The 16632-nt window shown below is 44.2% G+C and overlaps 3 protein-coding genes and 1 pseudogene across 19 annotated transcripts in view, besides 1 other annotated feature; all 4 read right to left on the bottom strand.

Moving 5' to 3' along the window:
• The window catches only part of GPRASP3 (G protein-coupled receptor associated sorting protein family member 3), a 32798-nt gene extending 32360 nt beyond the window's left edge, over positions 1 to 438 (bottom strand). For 2 of the 6 annotated variants that reach the window (NM_001142524.2, NM_001142527.2), the window contains exons 1-2: positions 356 to 438; positions 90 to 224 (exon numbers count right to left, since the gene is read on the bottom strand). The gene's annotated coding sequence lies outside the window, so the exon portion shown is untranslated. The remainder of the gene's footprint in view (positions 1 to 89; positions 225 to 355) is intronic. The other 4 variants (NM_001142525.2, NM_030639.3, NM_001142526.2 and 1 more) reach the window with 2 other exon arrangements.
• Positions 1 to 16632, bottom strand: part of ARMCX5-GPRASP2 (ARMCX5-GPRASP2 readthrough) — a 308717-nt gene that overhangs the window by 186884 nt on the left and 105201 nt on the right. For 2 of the 8 annotated variants that reach the window (NR_146587.2, NM_001350269.2), the window contains exons 1-5: positions 8629 to 8733; positions 7332 to 7399; positions 6915 to 6992; positions 360 to 647; positions 154 to 224 (exon numbers count right to left, since the gene is read on the bottom strand). Coding sequence is in view for 1 of the 8 variants with exons in the window: in NM_001199818.1 (NP_001186747.1) it covers positions 3795 to 6311 (2517 nt within the window). In the remaining 7 variants the exon portion in view is untranslated. Of the gene's footprint in view, positions 1 to 89; positions 225 to 355; positions 648 to 3447; positions 6645 to 6914; positions 6993 to 7331; positions 7400 to 7963; positions 8052 to 8174; positions 8342 to 8628; positions 8734 to 16632 lie in introns of those variants that run through there. The other 6 variants (NR_146586.2, NM_001350270.1, NR_146584.3 and 3 more) reach the window with 6 other exon arrangements.
• Positions 572 to 631: an enhancer, noted in NCBI's record as "active region_29815". NCBI's record gives its function as "activates an Ori minimal core promoter by ATAC-STARR-seq in GM12878 lymphoblastoid cells {active_cell/tissue: GM12878}" and the evidence as "EXISTENCE:reporter gene assay evidence [ECO:0000049][PMID:35858748]".
• Positions 3448 to 8733, bottom strand: GPRASP2 (G protein-coupled receptor associated sorting protein 2). Of its 5 annotated transcripts, none has more exons than NM_001184876.3 (5): positions 8629 to 8733; positions 7964 to 8090; positions 7332 to 7399; positions 6915 to 6992; positions 3448 to 6644 (listed from the first exon to the last, which is right to left on the bottom strand). In NM_001184876.3, the coding sequence occupies exon 5, from the start codon at positions 6309 to 6311 to the stop codon at positions 3795 to 3797; it is 2517 nt and encodes an 838-aa protein (NP_001171805.1). In that variant the 5' UTR covers positions 6312 to 6644; positions 6915 to 6992; positions 7332 to 7399; positions 7964 to 8090; positions 8629 to 8733; the 3' UTR covers positions 3448 to 3794. The 5 variants fall into 5 exon arrangements, with proteins under 5 accessions (NP_001171805.1, NP_001171803.1, NP_001004051.1 ...); NM_001184874.3 differs by having other exon boundaries at positions 3448 to 6772; positions 7964 to 8051; NM_001004051.4 differs by having other exon boundaries at positions 7964 to 8051.
• On the bottom strand, positions 14815 to 15403 carry BEND7P1 (BEN domain containing 7 pseudogene 1; annotated as a pseudogene).

Raw genomic sequence — 16632 nt, 5'->3', positions numbered from 1 at the left:
CAAACACAGGGCACTGGGCTGGGAGCCTTGGGATGAGGGGTCAAGGGTGTTCAAAAGGCAGGAGGGAGCAGGCGGATCTGAGGCATTACCTGCACCCGCATCTAGTCTCAGTCACCACCTCTCAGGGATGCCATCTGCCGTCCTTGCACCCACCTCCTCCAACAGCAACCGCTGCTCCTCTCCACGAACGCGTCGGGCAGGTAGACTCTCTGCTTCTTGAGCTCCTGGACAAAAGACAGACGGGCTAAGACGCTCCCGGTTGGCTGACGGATTGTTTCCTTTACCAACAAATGCTGTAGTTCCAGTCGCCTGAGAAATTAGTTTTCAGGCTGATGCAGCATGGAAAGACACCTACCTACCTTAACATCCCGCCGTTCCTCCCACGTTCTGCTCTGCGGAGCACAGGTGTCGTCCGCCTCTCAGGTCTTTTCTGGATGCAAGAAAACACTCCTCTCGGCAGGCCTAATGCAGAGCCTGGTCACATGACCCACCGTCAGCCCCACGTGACTGCGCAGTCAGCTTGTTCGCCGCAGTCCTGTACCATGGATGACAGTCTTCTGCCTCTGGGGTGCTTGCTAGAAGATCCTGAAGCTCCTTGGCCAGACAGCTGGAAGGAAGGCTGGCCTTTGCTCTGGAGGACCACTCGGCTGGCGAGGAACATTCGATGAGGATTTGGGAAATGAAGTGATTTTTAATATTTTGTATACGACTCAAGCGACATACTAAAACACACACAGATCTGTCTTGAAAAATGCTGGTAAGCAAAACAAACATTCAAACTCCAATTTGCACCACCAGGATAATCCCTGTTAAAACTTATGGCTTGCGATGGGAGGCAAAACTGCCACTTCCATATTACCTTACCAAACTAGGATCAGGTGGGGAAAAAAAGCATGTTGCACTGTCAGAAAAATTATACCAAACTTAGATAAAGTCACCTTCAGTTACTGGATGTCATTTCAGGGCAGTGCAGGATGTCTATTGATTTACCTATTTTTCAACTCTGTAGACACTGATGTTAACATGTAGATATTTTATTCAATAAATATGTAAATGATTTATGTCCAGTGCAATAGAAAACCTTAAATGTTACAATTTATTGCCCTGTAAGATATTAACCCGTTTTATATTTAACCTGGCAGTGTTATTCTAACATTTATTAATTTCCTATGTGTTTATGAAATTCAATGTTTTGTTTATATCTTCATATTGTGTATATTGTATATACACATATACCCTTCAACTGTTTTCTTAATCCTAGCAGTTGTTGATTGTGTTGAAAAATCTTTCACATATTCTTTTTACATTTACATGAATTGTAATTTTACCTTTGAAAATTTAGAACATTCTCAGACAAATAAATGTTATGTCTAAAAATAATAAAACATTGGATATTTCTCGTACGTCTGAATTTCCTCTCCAAACCAACATATAGCCCTGTCTTCCAATTCTCCTGACTGAAGGTATTGTGTGGTCATTTTTTAAATTATCGTGGCAAAATACACATAACATAAAATTTAACATTTTAACCATTTTAAAGTATACAACCCAGTACATTATCAATGTTGTACAACCATCACCACTATCTAGCTCCAGAACTTTGTTGTCACCTCAAAAGGAAATGTTATGTTTTTTACGGTAATAATTATGTGAAAAAGGTGCCATTTTTGTACCATGAACAGACTAATATTAAACTTAACACCCTTGGTAATTTTTTTTTTTTTTGAGACGGAGTTCTGCTCTGTCACCCAGGCTGTAGTGCAGTGGTGCGACCTCAGCTGACTGCAACTTCTGCCCCCCAGGCTCAAGCGACTCTCCTGCCTCAGCCTCCCCAGTAGCTGGGATTACAGGCGCACACCACCATGCCTGGCTAAGTTTTTGTATTTTTACTAGAGACAGCATTTCGCTATGTTGGCCAGGCTGGTCTCGAACTCCTGACCTCAAGTGATCCACCCACCTCAGCCTCCCAAAGTGCTGGGATTACAAGCGTGAGCCACCGCGCCTGGCCCACCCTTGATTATTTTATTTTATTTTATTTTTTTTGAGACAAGGTCTCACTCACATCACCCATGCTGGAGTGCAGTGGTGTGACTATGACTGACTGCAGCCTCAACTTCCTAGGCTCAAGTGATTCTCCTACCTCAGCCTCCTGAGTAGCTAGGACAAGTGCGTGCCACCATGCTGGGCTAATTTTTTTTATTTTTAGTAGAGACAAGGCATCAATATGTTGCCCAGGCTGGCCTTGAACTCTTGAGCTCAAGCAATCCTTCCGCTTCGGCCTCCCAAAGGGCTGGGATTACAGGTGTGAGCCACTGTGCCTGGCCAATTTTAATTTTTATCTTGAAAACGTTTTATAAAAAGCTAGTCTTTCTGATAGCTCATTCATTTACAACTTTTCTAAATGATATTATCTCTAATCATTTTTTAACACTTATAGTTTATTCATTTATATAATTCTGTCCTTTCCGGCATGCTCATCTATAACTCAAGGCACAAAATGTAAGCATATTAATTTTTTAATTTGTCTTATTAATGTTTGTATCTCCCCAACGCCTGTCTCTAAGCATTTTTTAACAAGGTATATATTTTATTCCAGACTGTGTTTAGAAATTCATATTGAAATTGCATAGGAATTGTGTACATTTACAGATGTTTTAAAAATGGAATCTAATTTTCCATACATGATGTCACATTCTCTGTTTCACCAAATATAAAATAATTAATGTCCTTTTGTGTCAATAAACCTATCCATACATAATCATTCCAACGGCTGCATGGTATTTCCTTAACACTTTCCTTTGTCTAGGAATATAAAGGAAATCATATTCCCCACTCCATTTAATTGTGCTATCCTACTCTTTCAGCCTTTAGGTGGCATTGAAGTAACACCTGTACTTTGAATTGTTAAATATGCAGATTTGGCTTATTCTGTTCCCCAAATTGGCCTCTTCCCAACTTTCTAACTGCATTTCTCATCAAACTCCTTTTACTTGTTTCAAGCAGACTGGGTTCATCCATGCTACTAGAACAGATTATTCAATTACACACTTTTCTTCAAACCACCACTGCCCACTTCCAAGAGCAACCTAATGATTTGTCTTATCCTACCCTTAGGCAAATCCCAGGGCTAAGATGGTAATTTAAATGGGTCCTATAAGAAGTATTAATTTTAGGTTGCTTGTTGGGAAGGCTCATAATTGGGCAAGCAGGCGGGCAAGTTGTCTTGCTCTCCTATCCTGACCAATTTGTTCTATCCTGACCAATTTAAGTGGGTCCCTCTTCTCGGAAACATTCCTCAAGTATCAGGGCCCACAATAATCTCTCCCTTCTTAACTCAAGAACAGAATTTTCTAATAAGCGCATGTTTGTCATACTAATAATTACCTATGTTTGTAAGTGCACACGATTTATCTGTACATGGTTCTTAAACTGAAGAAGGGTCACTTATGCCAATTTTAACATAGAACTTTATTGAAAACACAGACTCAAATAGAGAACCATATATTTAAACAACGAATAGCAGGGTAGCTTACTTAGGTGACACAGTTCATTGAAAACTTAATACTGAAAAATACCGCAATCTGGACAGCAAGACAAATATCAACAAATGTGTTTTCAGTTTTGATATTCATTTGGCATCCACAAAATGATCCAGCTCAAAACAAGAGTTTGACAAAGTTAACATCAGCATTAAAAAATATAAGTTACAACAAAAAAACAGACTGTGAACACCAAAGCACTACTCAGGGCTCTTTGGGAACATAAGGCTGATCAGCGGCAGGTGGTTAATCATATTAACTTTGTTGTCCCACCTCAGGATCATTTTGGTTGTCTATTTGGGCTTGTAGTTGCTTAGCTAACTCCTCAAATTCACGAAATGCAGAAATAAGCGGCTCAAGACTGAAATCATCATCAATTAAGGACATCTTTCCACTTTTTATAATGTTACTGATATTCTGAAACATTTTAATAACAATTTGAATATTATCATTTGTCTCTTCTATGTTAAAGAGACCCACAAATATTGAAAGAGCTTTGGCACTGAATAGTTTTTTTGCCACAGCAGGATTTTCAGACAAATTCAATAGCATTTTCAGAACGTGAAACTTCGTTCTCGCATTGGCTGTGGTTAATAAGGAGAGAAACCCGGACATATAGTTGGCAATCAGTGTGTGATAGTCAATAGTCATAGTGAGGTGTCTAAGCATCCTTATTCCAGTCAGCTGCTCAAGGGAATCCACACTATGTGCAAGGGTTTCCTCACACACTTGACATATGAATGTCTCAATCATGTTTAGATTTGGATAAGGTGGAGCCATGTGAATCATATTTTCCAAAAAACTTGTCCTAACTCTAGAGGATGGATAATTAAGCAAGGTTTCAATAAGTGAGACAACACCTGAATCTCGAATGAAATCTCGGGTAAATTGAGAAGCACTTCTCATACCCATTGCAATTTTAGATATTTCATGAATAAAAGGATCCCGAATTTTGTCCATTAATAAAAGGAATTCTTCAAACTCTTCAGAACCAATTTTCAGCTCACATTGTATGCAGCTGCAGGACCAACTCTCAGACTCTGCACTCTCCCTGGCCCTAAGATGCTCTCGAATTTCCCGGACTGACCGGTAGGAAGGATCATACTGAAATGTGAACTCAGGACTAGGCTGATCAGGCTGAAGCAAAGATTCCTGCTCTTCTCCTTCTGGGCTAAGTTCCAGGTTCTTGGGCTTTGCCTCAAGCATTTCAGAAGCCTCTTCGGGAATTCCAAAGGGGCTTGTGGATCGGAAGCCAACCCCATGAAAAAGACCAGGTTTGAATTCAACAGTGACCTCGTCCCAGGTTTGGGGCCTGGAGGATGCATTAAGCTCCTCAGCTGCATCTCTGAACCTATCACTGACCTTGTACACAGGACAGGGATTTAGGTCAAAGCAGGCCTCATCTCTGTCCCAGAACCAGGACCCAAATATGGCCTCTTCTTCAGACTCCGGCTTGGCCTCTTCTCTGGCCACAGCCCCCAAACTGGACTTTTCCTCAGCCCAGTACGCGGATCCGCCAATGGCCCCCTCCTCAGTTCCTGGCTCAGATTCACAGATTGCTGAAGCTCCACCCTCCAAACTGGCCTCTTTTTCTGCCCAGAACCAGGACCCAATAATGACTTCCTCCTCAAACCTGGGTTCTTGTTTGACCCTATCACTGTCAACATCTTTCTGGGCCCTGAGTTTCAAGGCAGTATTAGGATCTTCTTTGTCTCTGTGCCTGAATCTACTATTGGCCTCTTCTCCAGGCAAAACCCAGGACTGCTTATAGAACTCATCTTCAGACTCAGATTCAAAACAATCTTCTCTATTTGTCCTGAGCTTGGACCTGATATTTGCCTCCTCCCTGACTCTGGGCCTGAACAAGTTATTGGTATTTTCTCCAACCCAGAAGGAGAATGGGTTGCTGGCCTCATCCTCAGATCCAGACCAGGAATCAACATAGGCTTCTTGCTTGGATCTGGGCCTGGACCTGGGATTAGTCTGATGTTTAGCCCTGTGCCTGGACCTGGTATTGGACTCTTCCCTGGGCCATGATCTGACACTTGTCTCTTCTCCAGTCCAGAAAGAAGACGCTGTAGAGGTCTCATCTGCTGACCAGAACCCAGACTCATTAGAGGCCTCCTCTCTGGCCCTGGGCCTGGAATAGCACCAAGACCCCATATTAGTCTCCTCCCCTGGTCCAAACCAGGGCTGGATTCCTTTCTGACCCTGGGTGCCAGGAAAGGTTTCAGCATCCACATTGACTAGTTCTCTATCCATAGACAGGCCCTTAGATTTAGTAACTGATCCAGACTCAGCAGTGGCCAGTGGCCAAGCAACGGCATTAGTCTGGGACACTCCTTCTGCCTGTGACACTGCTTCAGTCCCAAATTCACTCTGGGCCCATGCCTGGGCCTCATCCTTGGGCCTTGCTCCAGGGATTGCCTTGGCATCAGTTTTAGAACGAGCGCCACCTACTGCCCTGGCATCGGTTTTGGGCCTGGCCCCTGTGATTCCTTGAGCCTCCGTTTTGGGTCTTGCACCACCCATTACTTGGACCTCAGTTTTGGGCCTTGCCCCAGACATTGCTTGGGCCTCAGTTTTGGGCCTTGCCGCAGGCACAGACTTGGTCTCAGTTTTGGGCCTTGCCCCAGTAGTTGCCTGGGTCCTAACCTTGGGTCTGACCACCAGAGGGACATCATTCTCTCTCTCAGGCCCAGCGATAACCTCTTCCCCAGCCTTCTTTTCAGGCTTGGCCTGGGCACTAGGCTCAATCTCTGCCCCAGTCATGGTACAAGTTACAAAGAAAGTCAGGTAATATACTCCTCCCGTAGTCTAAACCTCAACCACAGATCTGTCACAGGTTTGTTTCTTCACACTCTGATCTTTAGGTGATTAAGGATATAAGCTTGGGAATAAGAGTTAGAGTCAATATCCAGTCCAGTAGTCACTCAGCCTCCTTCCCAAACACAGTCTCAGTCAATAATTCAATAATACAGATAGAGTGAGAACAGGTACAACCAAGCTAAAGGAAGACAGATATTTCCTGGATGGGTGCAGACCCGTTGAGGGTGGTTGTCAGCAGCAACTCCACCACCAGCAGAGCAGCCACTGGAGGTGGATCTAGGGAGAGAGAATGAAATGAGGCTTTGAGTCTCTTCCAATTGTATGAGACGTATGCAGTGCGACTGATGTTGAATGCTAGGTGGGACAGCTGGGCTTTGAGAAAGTCTCTCTGGACCGGCTGCCTCCTACAAAACAGGTCCAACAATGGTGGGAAAGTGTGTCGGCAATGGGAGGGGCCAAGAAGCCCCCAGATTGGACCCTAATCACTCCCGGACCCATGCTGGTCTCCACTACCCCGCCCAAAAGTATACCCGCTCTCATACCAACCTTCACTGATGTGGTGCAGTTTCCCCCTCCTTTTCTTGTTCAAGTGGTGTCAAGCCCCACAGCTGACAGAAGGGGGTCCTACAGACAAGTGAACATACAGGAGAGAATGGAGTGTGAGTGCTTGGTAGGTAGGTGGGCACTCTGGCCCCTGTGACAAATATCTGTCTTCCCATTCAAGAGTTCAATGTATCTATGGTTTCCTGTGTCCTAGTCCCTGCTCTCAGGTCTTTTCTGAGTCACAACCCAACCTACACCTATCTCGTGTCTCCTGCAAGAAATAAAAAGGATGCTGGCACTGTGCAAATCCGGCAGAATAGAAGTGGGTCTGCCACTTCTACTACAGGTGGAAGTGGATCTGCCACCTGCCATGCTCTCTCCAACTGTCCCCTGCATTGTCCTCTCCCCCTTCTCACTAACCTCCAGAGCTGTGAGCCAGTCTCCTCCTCCTTGCCTTTCTTGCAGAATTGGCCAGCCTTAAAGTAGGCCTATGGACAAACACATGAAAAAGTAAGACAGTCAGGATATGAGTGGTGGCAGAAGAGCACTTGGTAGACAGGCCAACGCCAAGGATAAGAGTCCCCATATTATTGGTATCTGTCTTTCAACATTCGGGGTTTTGCTGGTGGAATATTCTCGTTTTATTTGGGCCCTGCTTCAAGGTTCCAGAGATAACAACTCCTTCTCTTGACGTCATATTCTTCCCATTACTCCCTTCTCCAATTCTGAGGATTCACCACTAGGTGCGCCACATCCCCTTGCTCTGCGCAGCATAAAATGGGGGAAGGGCGCCGCATATTCTAGAAAACAGGTTGTGAATTAGTACTTGTCAGTATGTCTCCCTCATCACCCCCACCTCCAAAGCCCACCCTTTCATGCCCCCAGTTTAGGACGGTGGGGGAGACAGGTGGGGATGGAAGGTGGGGGGAGCGCCATTAGAGAGGTGAAGATTAGGAGGTGCTCCTGGATGCCTGACTTGCTCTGGTCACAGTCCCCTACCCCGATTCGGGTCCCCAATCAGTGTTTAGCGCCCAACCCCCATCCCCACACACCTCCAGAAATCCAGGCAATATTCGTGCTCCTTTATTTCAAGCCTCTCCTCTACAGACGCTCACTGTGTCCTGTCAGAATACGCCAGACCTACCGCACAGACACAAGACTTTGACATCAACCTGGAGCCTGTGGGAAGGGAAGGCACCGAGGACATGGGGCCCCACAGGCCCCTTTCGGGAATCGGGACCCGGAGTAGCAAACGCGGCTCACCTCCGGCGGACTGGGTACAGAGCCGGGACGCCGACCCCCGCCGGCCTCGCCGGGCGCCCCCCAACGGCCTTCCCGGGCGCCCCCACAGCGGCTCCCGCTCCGCCATTTCTCCCGCAGGAGCCTCCCCCACAGCCCTCTCCGGGCACAGACACCGTCGAGGGCGGGGCGCGGGCGCCTGCAAAGCTGGCTGGGAAGCGGTCAGCGCGGTTCTCCTCCAAACGATCTGGCGGTGCCTCCCGAGCCAGCCCCTCAGCCCTTGGCCAGGCCCGCTCCGGTCACCGCCTCCCCATCGCCAGGGGTCTCGGGCACTGCGCACCTCTCTCAAGCGCCTGGCTCCGACCGGATCGTCTCCTCGTTGCCAGGCTGTCAGGGTCCGCGGGGCAGGCTGCCTGCTGGTCCACCCTGCCAGACCACCCCCGCAACCCGGACCCCCACCTCATGCACCCGCACTTGCCTTCAGAGGCCCAGGGCCCAGGTCGTCGGCCTCCCCCTCCTCTCCTCAGCTCTCCTCTGGCTCACTTGGAGCCACTGCTTTCCCCGCGATCCGAACGGGAAAGACGCGTCCCGCCCCCCACGCCTCTGCACCAAAGTAGGCAGGGGCTGCGCAGGATGCGGCAAGAACCGCTCGCCGCGAGGGTGTCGGGAAGGGGGGCGGAGGGATACGGCGCGAAAGTGCTTGACGCCCCCATCCCAGGCCCACCGTAGTTCCGACCCCGAGGTGGGCAGGGCCAGGATGAGCCCCAGCCTGGGCGTGCGGGTTGGCACCAGGCTGCCTCAGGAGGCCCCCACGGACCCTAACGTGGCGACCACTACCATATTTCTGTCGCTGCTGTAATATATGGGACCAGCGGGCGGCTGGGGGCCCGGGCAGGGGACAGGATCGCGAGGTCGGGAAGAGCCGCGCTGGAGAGAACAGCGGATGGATACCAAACCGCCCCGTGATGTGTCTGCACCCCCGCCCCAACCGCCCCCCTCACAGGGACTGCTGGGTGTCTGCCCCCTCCCTCTCCCCAGTCCCCTAACCCTCCTTTCTGGAAGCTGATGGGAAAGGGGGTGTCAGCACTGCAGTGTGGGAGGGGAGAGGCGATTTCAGGCCATACAGGCCCGGGGCTCTAGGGTGGTCCTCTTGTGCGTTTCTTTCCCAGCTTCGTGGAGCCACGCAGGGGAGGAAGGTACACCTGCTCTTAAGTGAACTCCGGGGCAGGGGGCTCCCATCAAGGACTCACCACTGCCCCTCTTCTAAAAGAAGGTAGACCTAGACCTCTAACCCTAGGAAACCAACCACTGGTCTGCACCAAACTCATTCCTTTCTGCCACACTGCTCTTTCTCATTTCAAATGGTGGCTCACGTTGGCATTGCGCCGTCGCCACAGTTGCCCCCAGAAGAGGACCTTTCCCTGTCAGGACCCGCAGGAGGTCATAACAGTCCTCTCTCTTTGATGCCGCCAGGTAGGGATGGTCCTGGCTCCTCTTCGGTTCCCTGTCAAGTCTTCTCTTGCCATGACATTTGGCAGTGTGGAAATGTGGCTGGTATTCGAACCAGCTTGGATCTCAGCCACCTGCCACAACTACCTGCTGTTTCAGCAGTCATTCTCAGGAGAGGATCCCACCGTGCACCCCCCTCCCCGAGACAAAGCAACCTGGCTCCTTTTGAATCCTCTTCTTTCACCCCAACATCCGTCCTCTACTCTTGAGCCCCTCCTTTCCCTGCTTCCTGCATGGGACAGACAGAGCAATGTGGTTAAATACGAAGTTGATGTTGTTGTTACTGCTGTCCATTTGAAAACTCATTTAGGTGCTACCCTTATTGTGTTTGGCAAGTAACGGTCCCCTAAAGATGTCCATGTCCTGTTCTCCAGAACATGTACCATTTTATATTTCCTGGCAAAGGATCATTAAGATTGCTAATCAGCTGAATTTAATTTAAGATTATGCTGGATTATCTTGGCCAATGTAATTGCAAGGGTACTTTAAATGTGGAAGAGGGAGGCAGTGACTCAATATCAGATTGAAGCATCATGAGAAGGTCTACACTGGCCATTGTTGGCTTTGAAGATGGAAGGAAGCCAAGATCCAAGAAATACAGGCTGTCTCCAGAACCTGGAAAAGACAAAGAAACAGATTCTTCCCTAGAAATGCCAGAGGGATAGCTCCTCTGGCAACATCTTGATTTTAGTGTAATGAAACCCTTTGCAGATTTCCAGCCTCTAGGACTGTAAGATAATAATAAATTTGTATTATTTTAAGCCCTTCTATGTGTGGTAATTGGTTAAAGCAGCAGTATGAACCTAATACACTCACCATCCTGATGAAGTCTATTCCCCTTGACTTTCTTTACCCGTGGATCAGTCTCTGGGGAAGATCTATTTTGGAGCTCATGCCTCACCACTACAAACATCAATTGCCTCTTCTTTGCTTCCTAAAGGACAGTGATTTTTTTTATGTCCCTTATAGGTAATCTTGGAGAAAGTTCCTTTTTGCTGAAACCACTGATATTTCCCAGGTACAAAAGGGAACCCTATTCTTTTGTTGTTGTTGTTGCTGGTTTTGAGAGGGACTATCGGTGTTGTTGCCCAGGCTGGCTGGAGTGCAATGGTGCCATCTTGGCTCACTGCAACCTCCGCCTCCTGGGTTCAAGTGATTCTCCTGCCTCAGCCTCCTGAGTAGCTGGGATTACAGGTATGCCCCAAGACGCCTGGCTTATTTTTTGTATTTTTAGTAGAGATGGGGTTTCTTTATGTTGGTCAGGCTTGTCTGGAACTCCTGACTTCAGGTGATCTGCCTGCCTCGGCCTCCCAAAGTGCTGGGATTACAGGCGTGAGCCACCGTGCCTGGCCAGGAGCCCTATTCTTATGATGAATTTTCATATATTTCCATACAGCTTTTGTTACCAGATATTTACTATAACTGTACAATATTTTGCTGATATGAAGAAAACATGTGAGGATGATTCTGTACCACATCTGGAGATGAATGTTATGTATTAGAGGAAGACCACGTTAACTCTGCCTTTTTCATGGCCTTAACTGAATGGTGGATTTTCTCTGTTCCACAGCATACTCTCATGAATGAATTACAGGCTTGGGAGAACAGAGCCTGGGTCTGCTGGAATTTGTTGGCGCGTGTACATCTCTTTGCCTTCCTGAGCTGTTCTTCCCCTTTCATAACGTTACTGATGCCTTTCATTTATTCAACAAATATATATTGAGCTCCTACTTTCTCCTAGGCAGTGGGCATACAGTATAAACCAAAGAGAAATGAATCCCCTTTCTTGTGGTGCTTACATTCACCTGTGGTTTCCTGTTCAATTCCCTATTCTGAAAGTTTGCAGATGTATCGAAAACTATGCCAGCACAAGTTACTGTGGTAATTCTGGAGGCGCTGGGATCTTGCTCTCAAGATATTTACCTATAGAGGGGTGGTTCTACCAAAAGCTGATCAATTTTACTGTGAGAATTTGAAACGTGTTGGGCAATTTGATGTCAATTCGTTTAGAAAACAGGGACTATGATAGACATTTACTGAACTGAGAAAGGCCCTGTTCTAACCTCTTTGTGTGTAAAGACATTATAGACTATTACCAGAATGTATTATAACTACCTCCTTATACCAGATGAGGAAACCAGCTCGGATAGTTTGTCATTTTTAAAGTGGAGAGTAAATAAAAAGTTAAAAGAAGATGCTGACCTATGCCTGTCTGACTGGTACAAGCTATTTATTTCCTCTTAAAATGTGTTCCAGTCTAATAGATTGCATCAGCCATGGTTTTACTCCTCAGTGCCTCCACCAGCACCTGTGTAACCCTGACTGGCTCCTAAAATCTAAATTTCCAAAACAAATAACTCACAAGCATTAAGCCCAGGACAAAGAGGCAGCTGTACTGACTCATGATACCCACCTCTCTGTCCCCAACCCCACCCCATCTCCCACATGCACGCTTGTGAACTTGCACACTCGTATATCCCTTGCCTGTGCAGCAGCTTGCATTACTTCCTTTTGTCCCTCTTACTCACTGTGGACAAGGACCTGTTTTAACCCTTTTAGCTTAACTTTGGACTTTCTACTGTCATTTTCATTTGCAATTCCCCAGACATGTGATATTTAGTATGTATTCATATGCTCATTTGCCATCTGAATATGTTTTTTGGCCAAGTGTCTGTTCCCATCATTTACCCAATTTTAAAATGGGTTGATTGTTTTCTTATTGTTAAGTTTAAGAATTCTTATGTATATTTTGGATAGCAATCTTTTATCAGATGTCTGTTTTGCAAATAGTTTCTCTGTGGCTTCTCTTTTTCAATCTCTTAACAGTTTATTTTGTAGAGGAGAATAATCTTTAATGAGACCCAACTTATCAATTTGTTCTTTCATGGATCATGCTTTTGTTGTATCTAAAAAGTTGTTGACAAACCCAAAGTTACCTAGATGTTCTATTATGTTATCTTCTAGAAGTTTCATAGTTTTGCCTTTTAAACTTAGGTTAGTATCTGTGAAAGGGGTAAGGTCTTTGTCTATTTTTTTTTGCATGTGAATCTAGCACTATTTGTTGAAACAACTATCCTTTCCCCATTAAATTACCTTTGCTCCTTTGTCAAAGATTAGTTGACCGTATTTCTGTGGGTCTACTTCTGGGCTCTGTCTTCTGTTGCCCTGATCTACTTGTCTGTTTTTCACCAATATCAAACCCTCTTACTTAAGCTTTATAGTAGGTCTTAAAGTTGGGTAGTGTCAGTCCTCTGACCTTGTCCTTCTTCTTGAATATTGTGTTGGCTATTCTGTGTCTTTTGCTTCTCCACATAAACTTTATAATCAGTTTGCCAATATCCACAACATAACTTGCAGGGATTTTGATTGGGAGTGCATTGAGTCTATAGATCAAGTGCAGATGAACTGACATCTTCATGATATTATGTTATGATAAAAAAAAAAAGGAATATTTTTCCATTTATTTAGATCTTGTTTCTTTCATCAATGTTTTGTAGTTTCCTCAGAGAGAACTTGTAGTTATTTTTGTATATCTATACCTAAGTATTTCATTTTTGGTGCCAATGTAAAGGGTACTGTATTTTTTATTTCAAATTATAATTTTTATTCCTGGGATATAAGAAAAAATTGACTTTTACATCTTAACCTTCCATTTTGCAACATTGCCATAAATGTTTGTTAGTTACTGGGTCTTTTGTCGTTGTTGAGTCTTTGGAATTTACTTTTTTATTATCAAAATCAAGAAATGTATTCTCTATCCAATTGATACAACTTATTTTATTTTATTTTAATTTTGAGATGGAGTCCCTCTCTCTAGCCCAGGCTGGAGTGCAGTGGCACGATCTCAGCTCACTGCAACCTCCGCCTCCTGGGTTCAAGCAATTCTCCTGCCTCAGCCTCCCAAGTAGCTGGAAATAAAGATGCACGCTACGCCTGCCTAATCTGTGTATATTTAGTAGAGACTGGGTTTCACCATATTGGCCAGGCTGGTCTCGAACTTTTGACCTTAAGTGATCTGCCCGTCTCGGCCTCCCAAGGTGCTGGGATTACAGGCGTGAGACACTGTGCCCGGCCTGATACAATTTATTACTACACTATTATCTAAATTATAAACTATTCACACTCTGTCAATTGGTTCCAAAAGTTCTTTCAGAGTCATTTTCTTTCCTGACCCAGAATCAAATATGTGTGTACACACTGAATGTGGTGTGTCTCTTTGGTTTACTTTAATTTGAAATAGTTTTTCAGCCTTTCTTTGCTGATTTTCCCCCAAGTTCTAGTTTATTTTATGTACACTGTCTTAGAAACCTTTGCCTACAGTCCCAGCCATGAAGAAATTCTTTTTTTTTTTCTATAAACTTTATGGCTTAACTTCTATAGTTAAATCTATGATCTGTCTCGAATTTATTTTTTGTGTGTTGTGTGAGGCAGGAGTCAAGGTTCATTTTCTTCCATATATATATATCCAGTAGTCCAAGCATCATTTGTTAAAAAGACTTTCCCCAGTTGGATTGCTTGGTTCCTTTGCAGAAAAATCTAAAAATTTTATAAGTGTGGGCCAATTCCTAGGCTATTCCATTGATCTATTTATTGACCCTTATGCCAGTGCCAAACATTCTTAATTTTTGTAGCTTCTTGGCAAGTATTGGAGTCAGGTAGATACATCCTCCAACAGTGTTCTTCCTTTTCAATATTTATTGAGGAAGTTCCCTTCTTTTCTTTTTCTTCCTCCTTAGTTTTCTGACTTTTTTTCCATAATGGATGGGTGCTGAAATTTGTCAAAATTTTTTGCATCTATTGAAATGATCGTATCAGTTTTCTTCTTCATTCTGGTAGTTACCTTGATTTTCAAATGTTAAGCTAACCCATAATTTTGGGACAAATCCCACTGTTCATAATCTATATTTTTATATTTTATTATATGTTTTTGGATTCAAGTGTTTGATAGTCACTTGATGGCTACTGTGGGCAGTGGGACAATTCTGGACACCAGAAATATAGAATATTTTCATCATGATAGAAAGTTCTATTGGACGTCTCTACAGTGATCTATTTCTAAATAATTTCATATTATTCCTTCACATGTAAAATCCTTCATGAGTCATCAATATCTACAGGATATATGCGTTCTTGTCCAGCCTCAGTATACCCCTTAATCTCATTGTCTTATTATGCTCCCACACTTTCTTTCTTCTCTTGTCAATTTAGTTGCTGAATGCTTATGGTTTCATTGTGCTAGCTTTCATGTTCATCCTTTCTGGAATGCTGTAACACTTCTCACTTTTATTGTACACACAGTATTTTGGTCTAGTCCTTTTTGGTTGTCATCAAGTCCTTTTTTTCTCTTACTATTGGGTAAGGAGTTAGCCAAAGTCGTTATAAAAAATGCACACACCATTTTCTAAACAAAAGGCTTTCTGTGCGAGTGTAGTTTGACAATATAGAGTACAGTGAAGTTTTAGGCATAAACACATCAAAGCCTTCAGCAAGTTGAACTTTTGGATCTGAGATAAGTAATTCAAGAAGAATGCTAAATCCTAGAATGTGGTTCTCCTTAGTGAAGGTGTGCTCGGCTGCTTGGAGAACAAACTGTTCAGAGGCCCCTCCTGACTTCTTCTCTATTTAAAACTCATGAGCTTCTGTTTCACAATGAGAGGTTCAATGGTCTTTGGGGGCACTTTTTTCTTTTTATTTCTCATGTGTGAAATACTAGTTTGCTGAGAGCATATAAGGGCAATTTTGAAGGATTTTCTATGTAGACAATAATGTCATTTGTGGGCTGGGTGCGGTGGCTCACGCCTGTAATCCCAGCACTTTGTGAGGTGGGAGGATCACCTGAGGCCAAGAAGTTCGAGACCAGCCTGGCCAATATGGTGAAACACCATCTCTACTAAAAATACAGAGCTAGACCTTATCTCAAAATAATAATAATAATGTCATTTGTGAACAAAGATAAGTTTATTTCTTCCTTCCACATCTGTGTATCTTTTATTTGAGTTTATTGTTTTACTGCATTAGCTAGGACTTCCAGTACAATGTTGAATAGGATTAGTGAGAAGGGACATCCTTGGATTGTTCCTGATCTTTGCAGGGAAGCATCTAGTTTCTTACCCTTATGATGTTAGCTGTAGATTTTTTGTAGATGTTCTTTATTAAGTATAAAGAGTTCTCTATGTCTTAGTTCAGGTTGCTATAACAAAATGCCATATACTGAGTGGCTTAAATAATAGACATTCATTTCTCACAGCTGTGAAGGCTAGGAAGTCTAAGATCAAGGTGCCAGCAGATTTGGTTCCTGGTGAGGTCTCACTTCCTAGCTTGTTTTCCTAGCTTTCGTTTTCATTGAGTTTTTCCATTGATTTCCTATTCATTCATTCATTCACCTTCTCATTGTGTTCTCACATGGTTATTCCTCAGTGTGTGCATGTAGGGGGAGAGAGAGAGAGATCAAGCTCTCTGGTGTCTCTTTTTATGAGGGCACTGATCCCATTTTGAGAGTTCCATCTTCATCAGCTAATCTAAACCTGATGAACTGCAAAAGGTCCCACCTCCATATGCCATCACATTGGGTGTTGGAACTTCAATATACACATTTGGCGTGGGGCATACACATTCAGCCCATAACACCTCTATCCCTAGTTTTCTGAGAGTTTCTCTTTTTAAAATCATGAATGGGTGTTAGATTTTGCCAAATACCTTTGCTGTTCTATTGATGTAATACTATAATTTTTCCTCTTTAGCCTTTTGATGTGATGGATTATACTAATTGATTTTTGAATGTTGAAACATTCTTGCATACCTGGAATAAATTCTACTAGGTTGTGGCATATAATTCTTTTTATACATTGCTGGATTTGATGGGCTAATATTTGTTGAGGATTTTTACATTTATGTGTGTAAGGGATATTGGTCTGTTTTACTTTCTTGTAACTTTTTTACCTGGTCTTGGTATTAGGGTAATGCTGACCTCATA

Source organism: Homo sapiens, chromosome X (assembly GCF_000001405.40).
Source record: "Homo sapiens chromosome X, GRCh38.p14 Primary Assembly".
NCBI classification, from domain to species: Eukaryota; Metazoa; Chordata; class Mammalia; order Primates; family Hominidae; genus Homo; species Homo sapiens.
The sequence above is the reverse complement of the archived record's forward strand: the minus strand, read 5'-3'. Positions and strand labels throughout refer to the sequence as shown.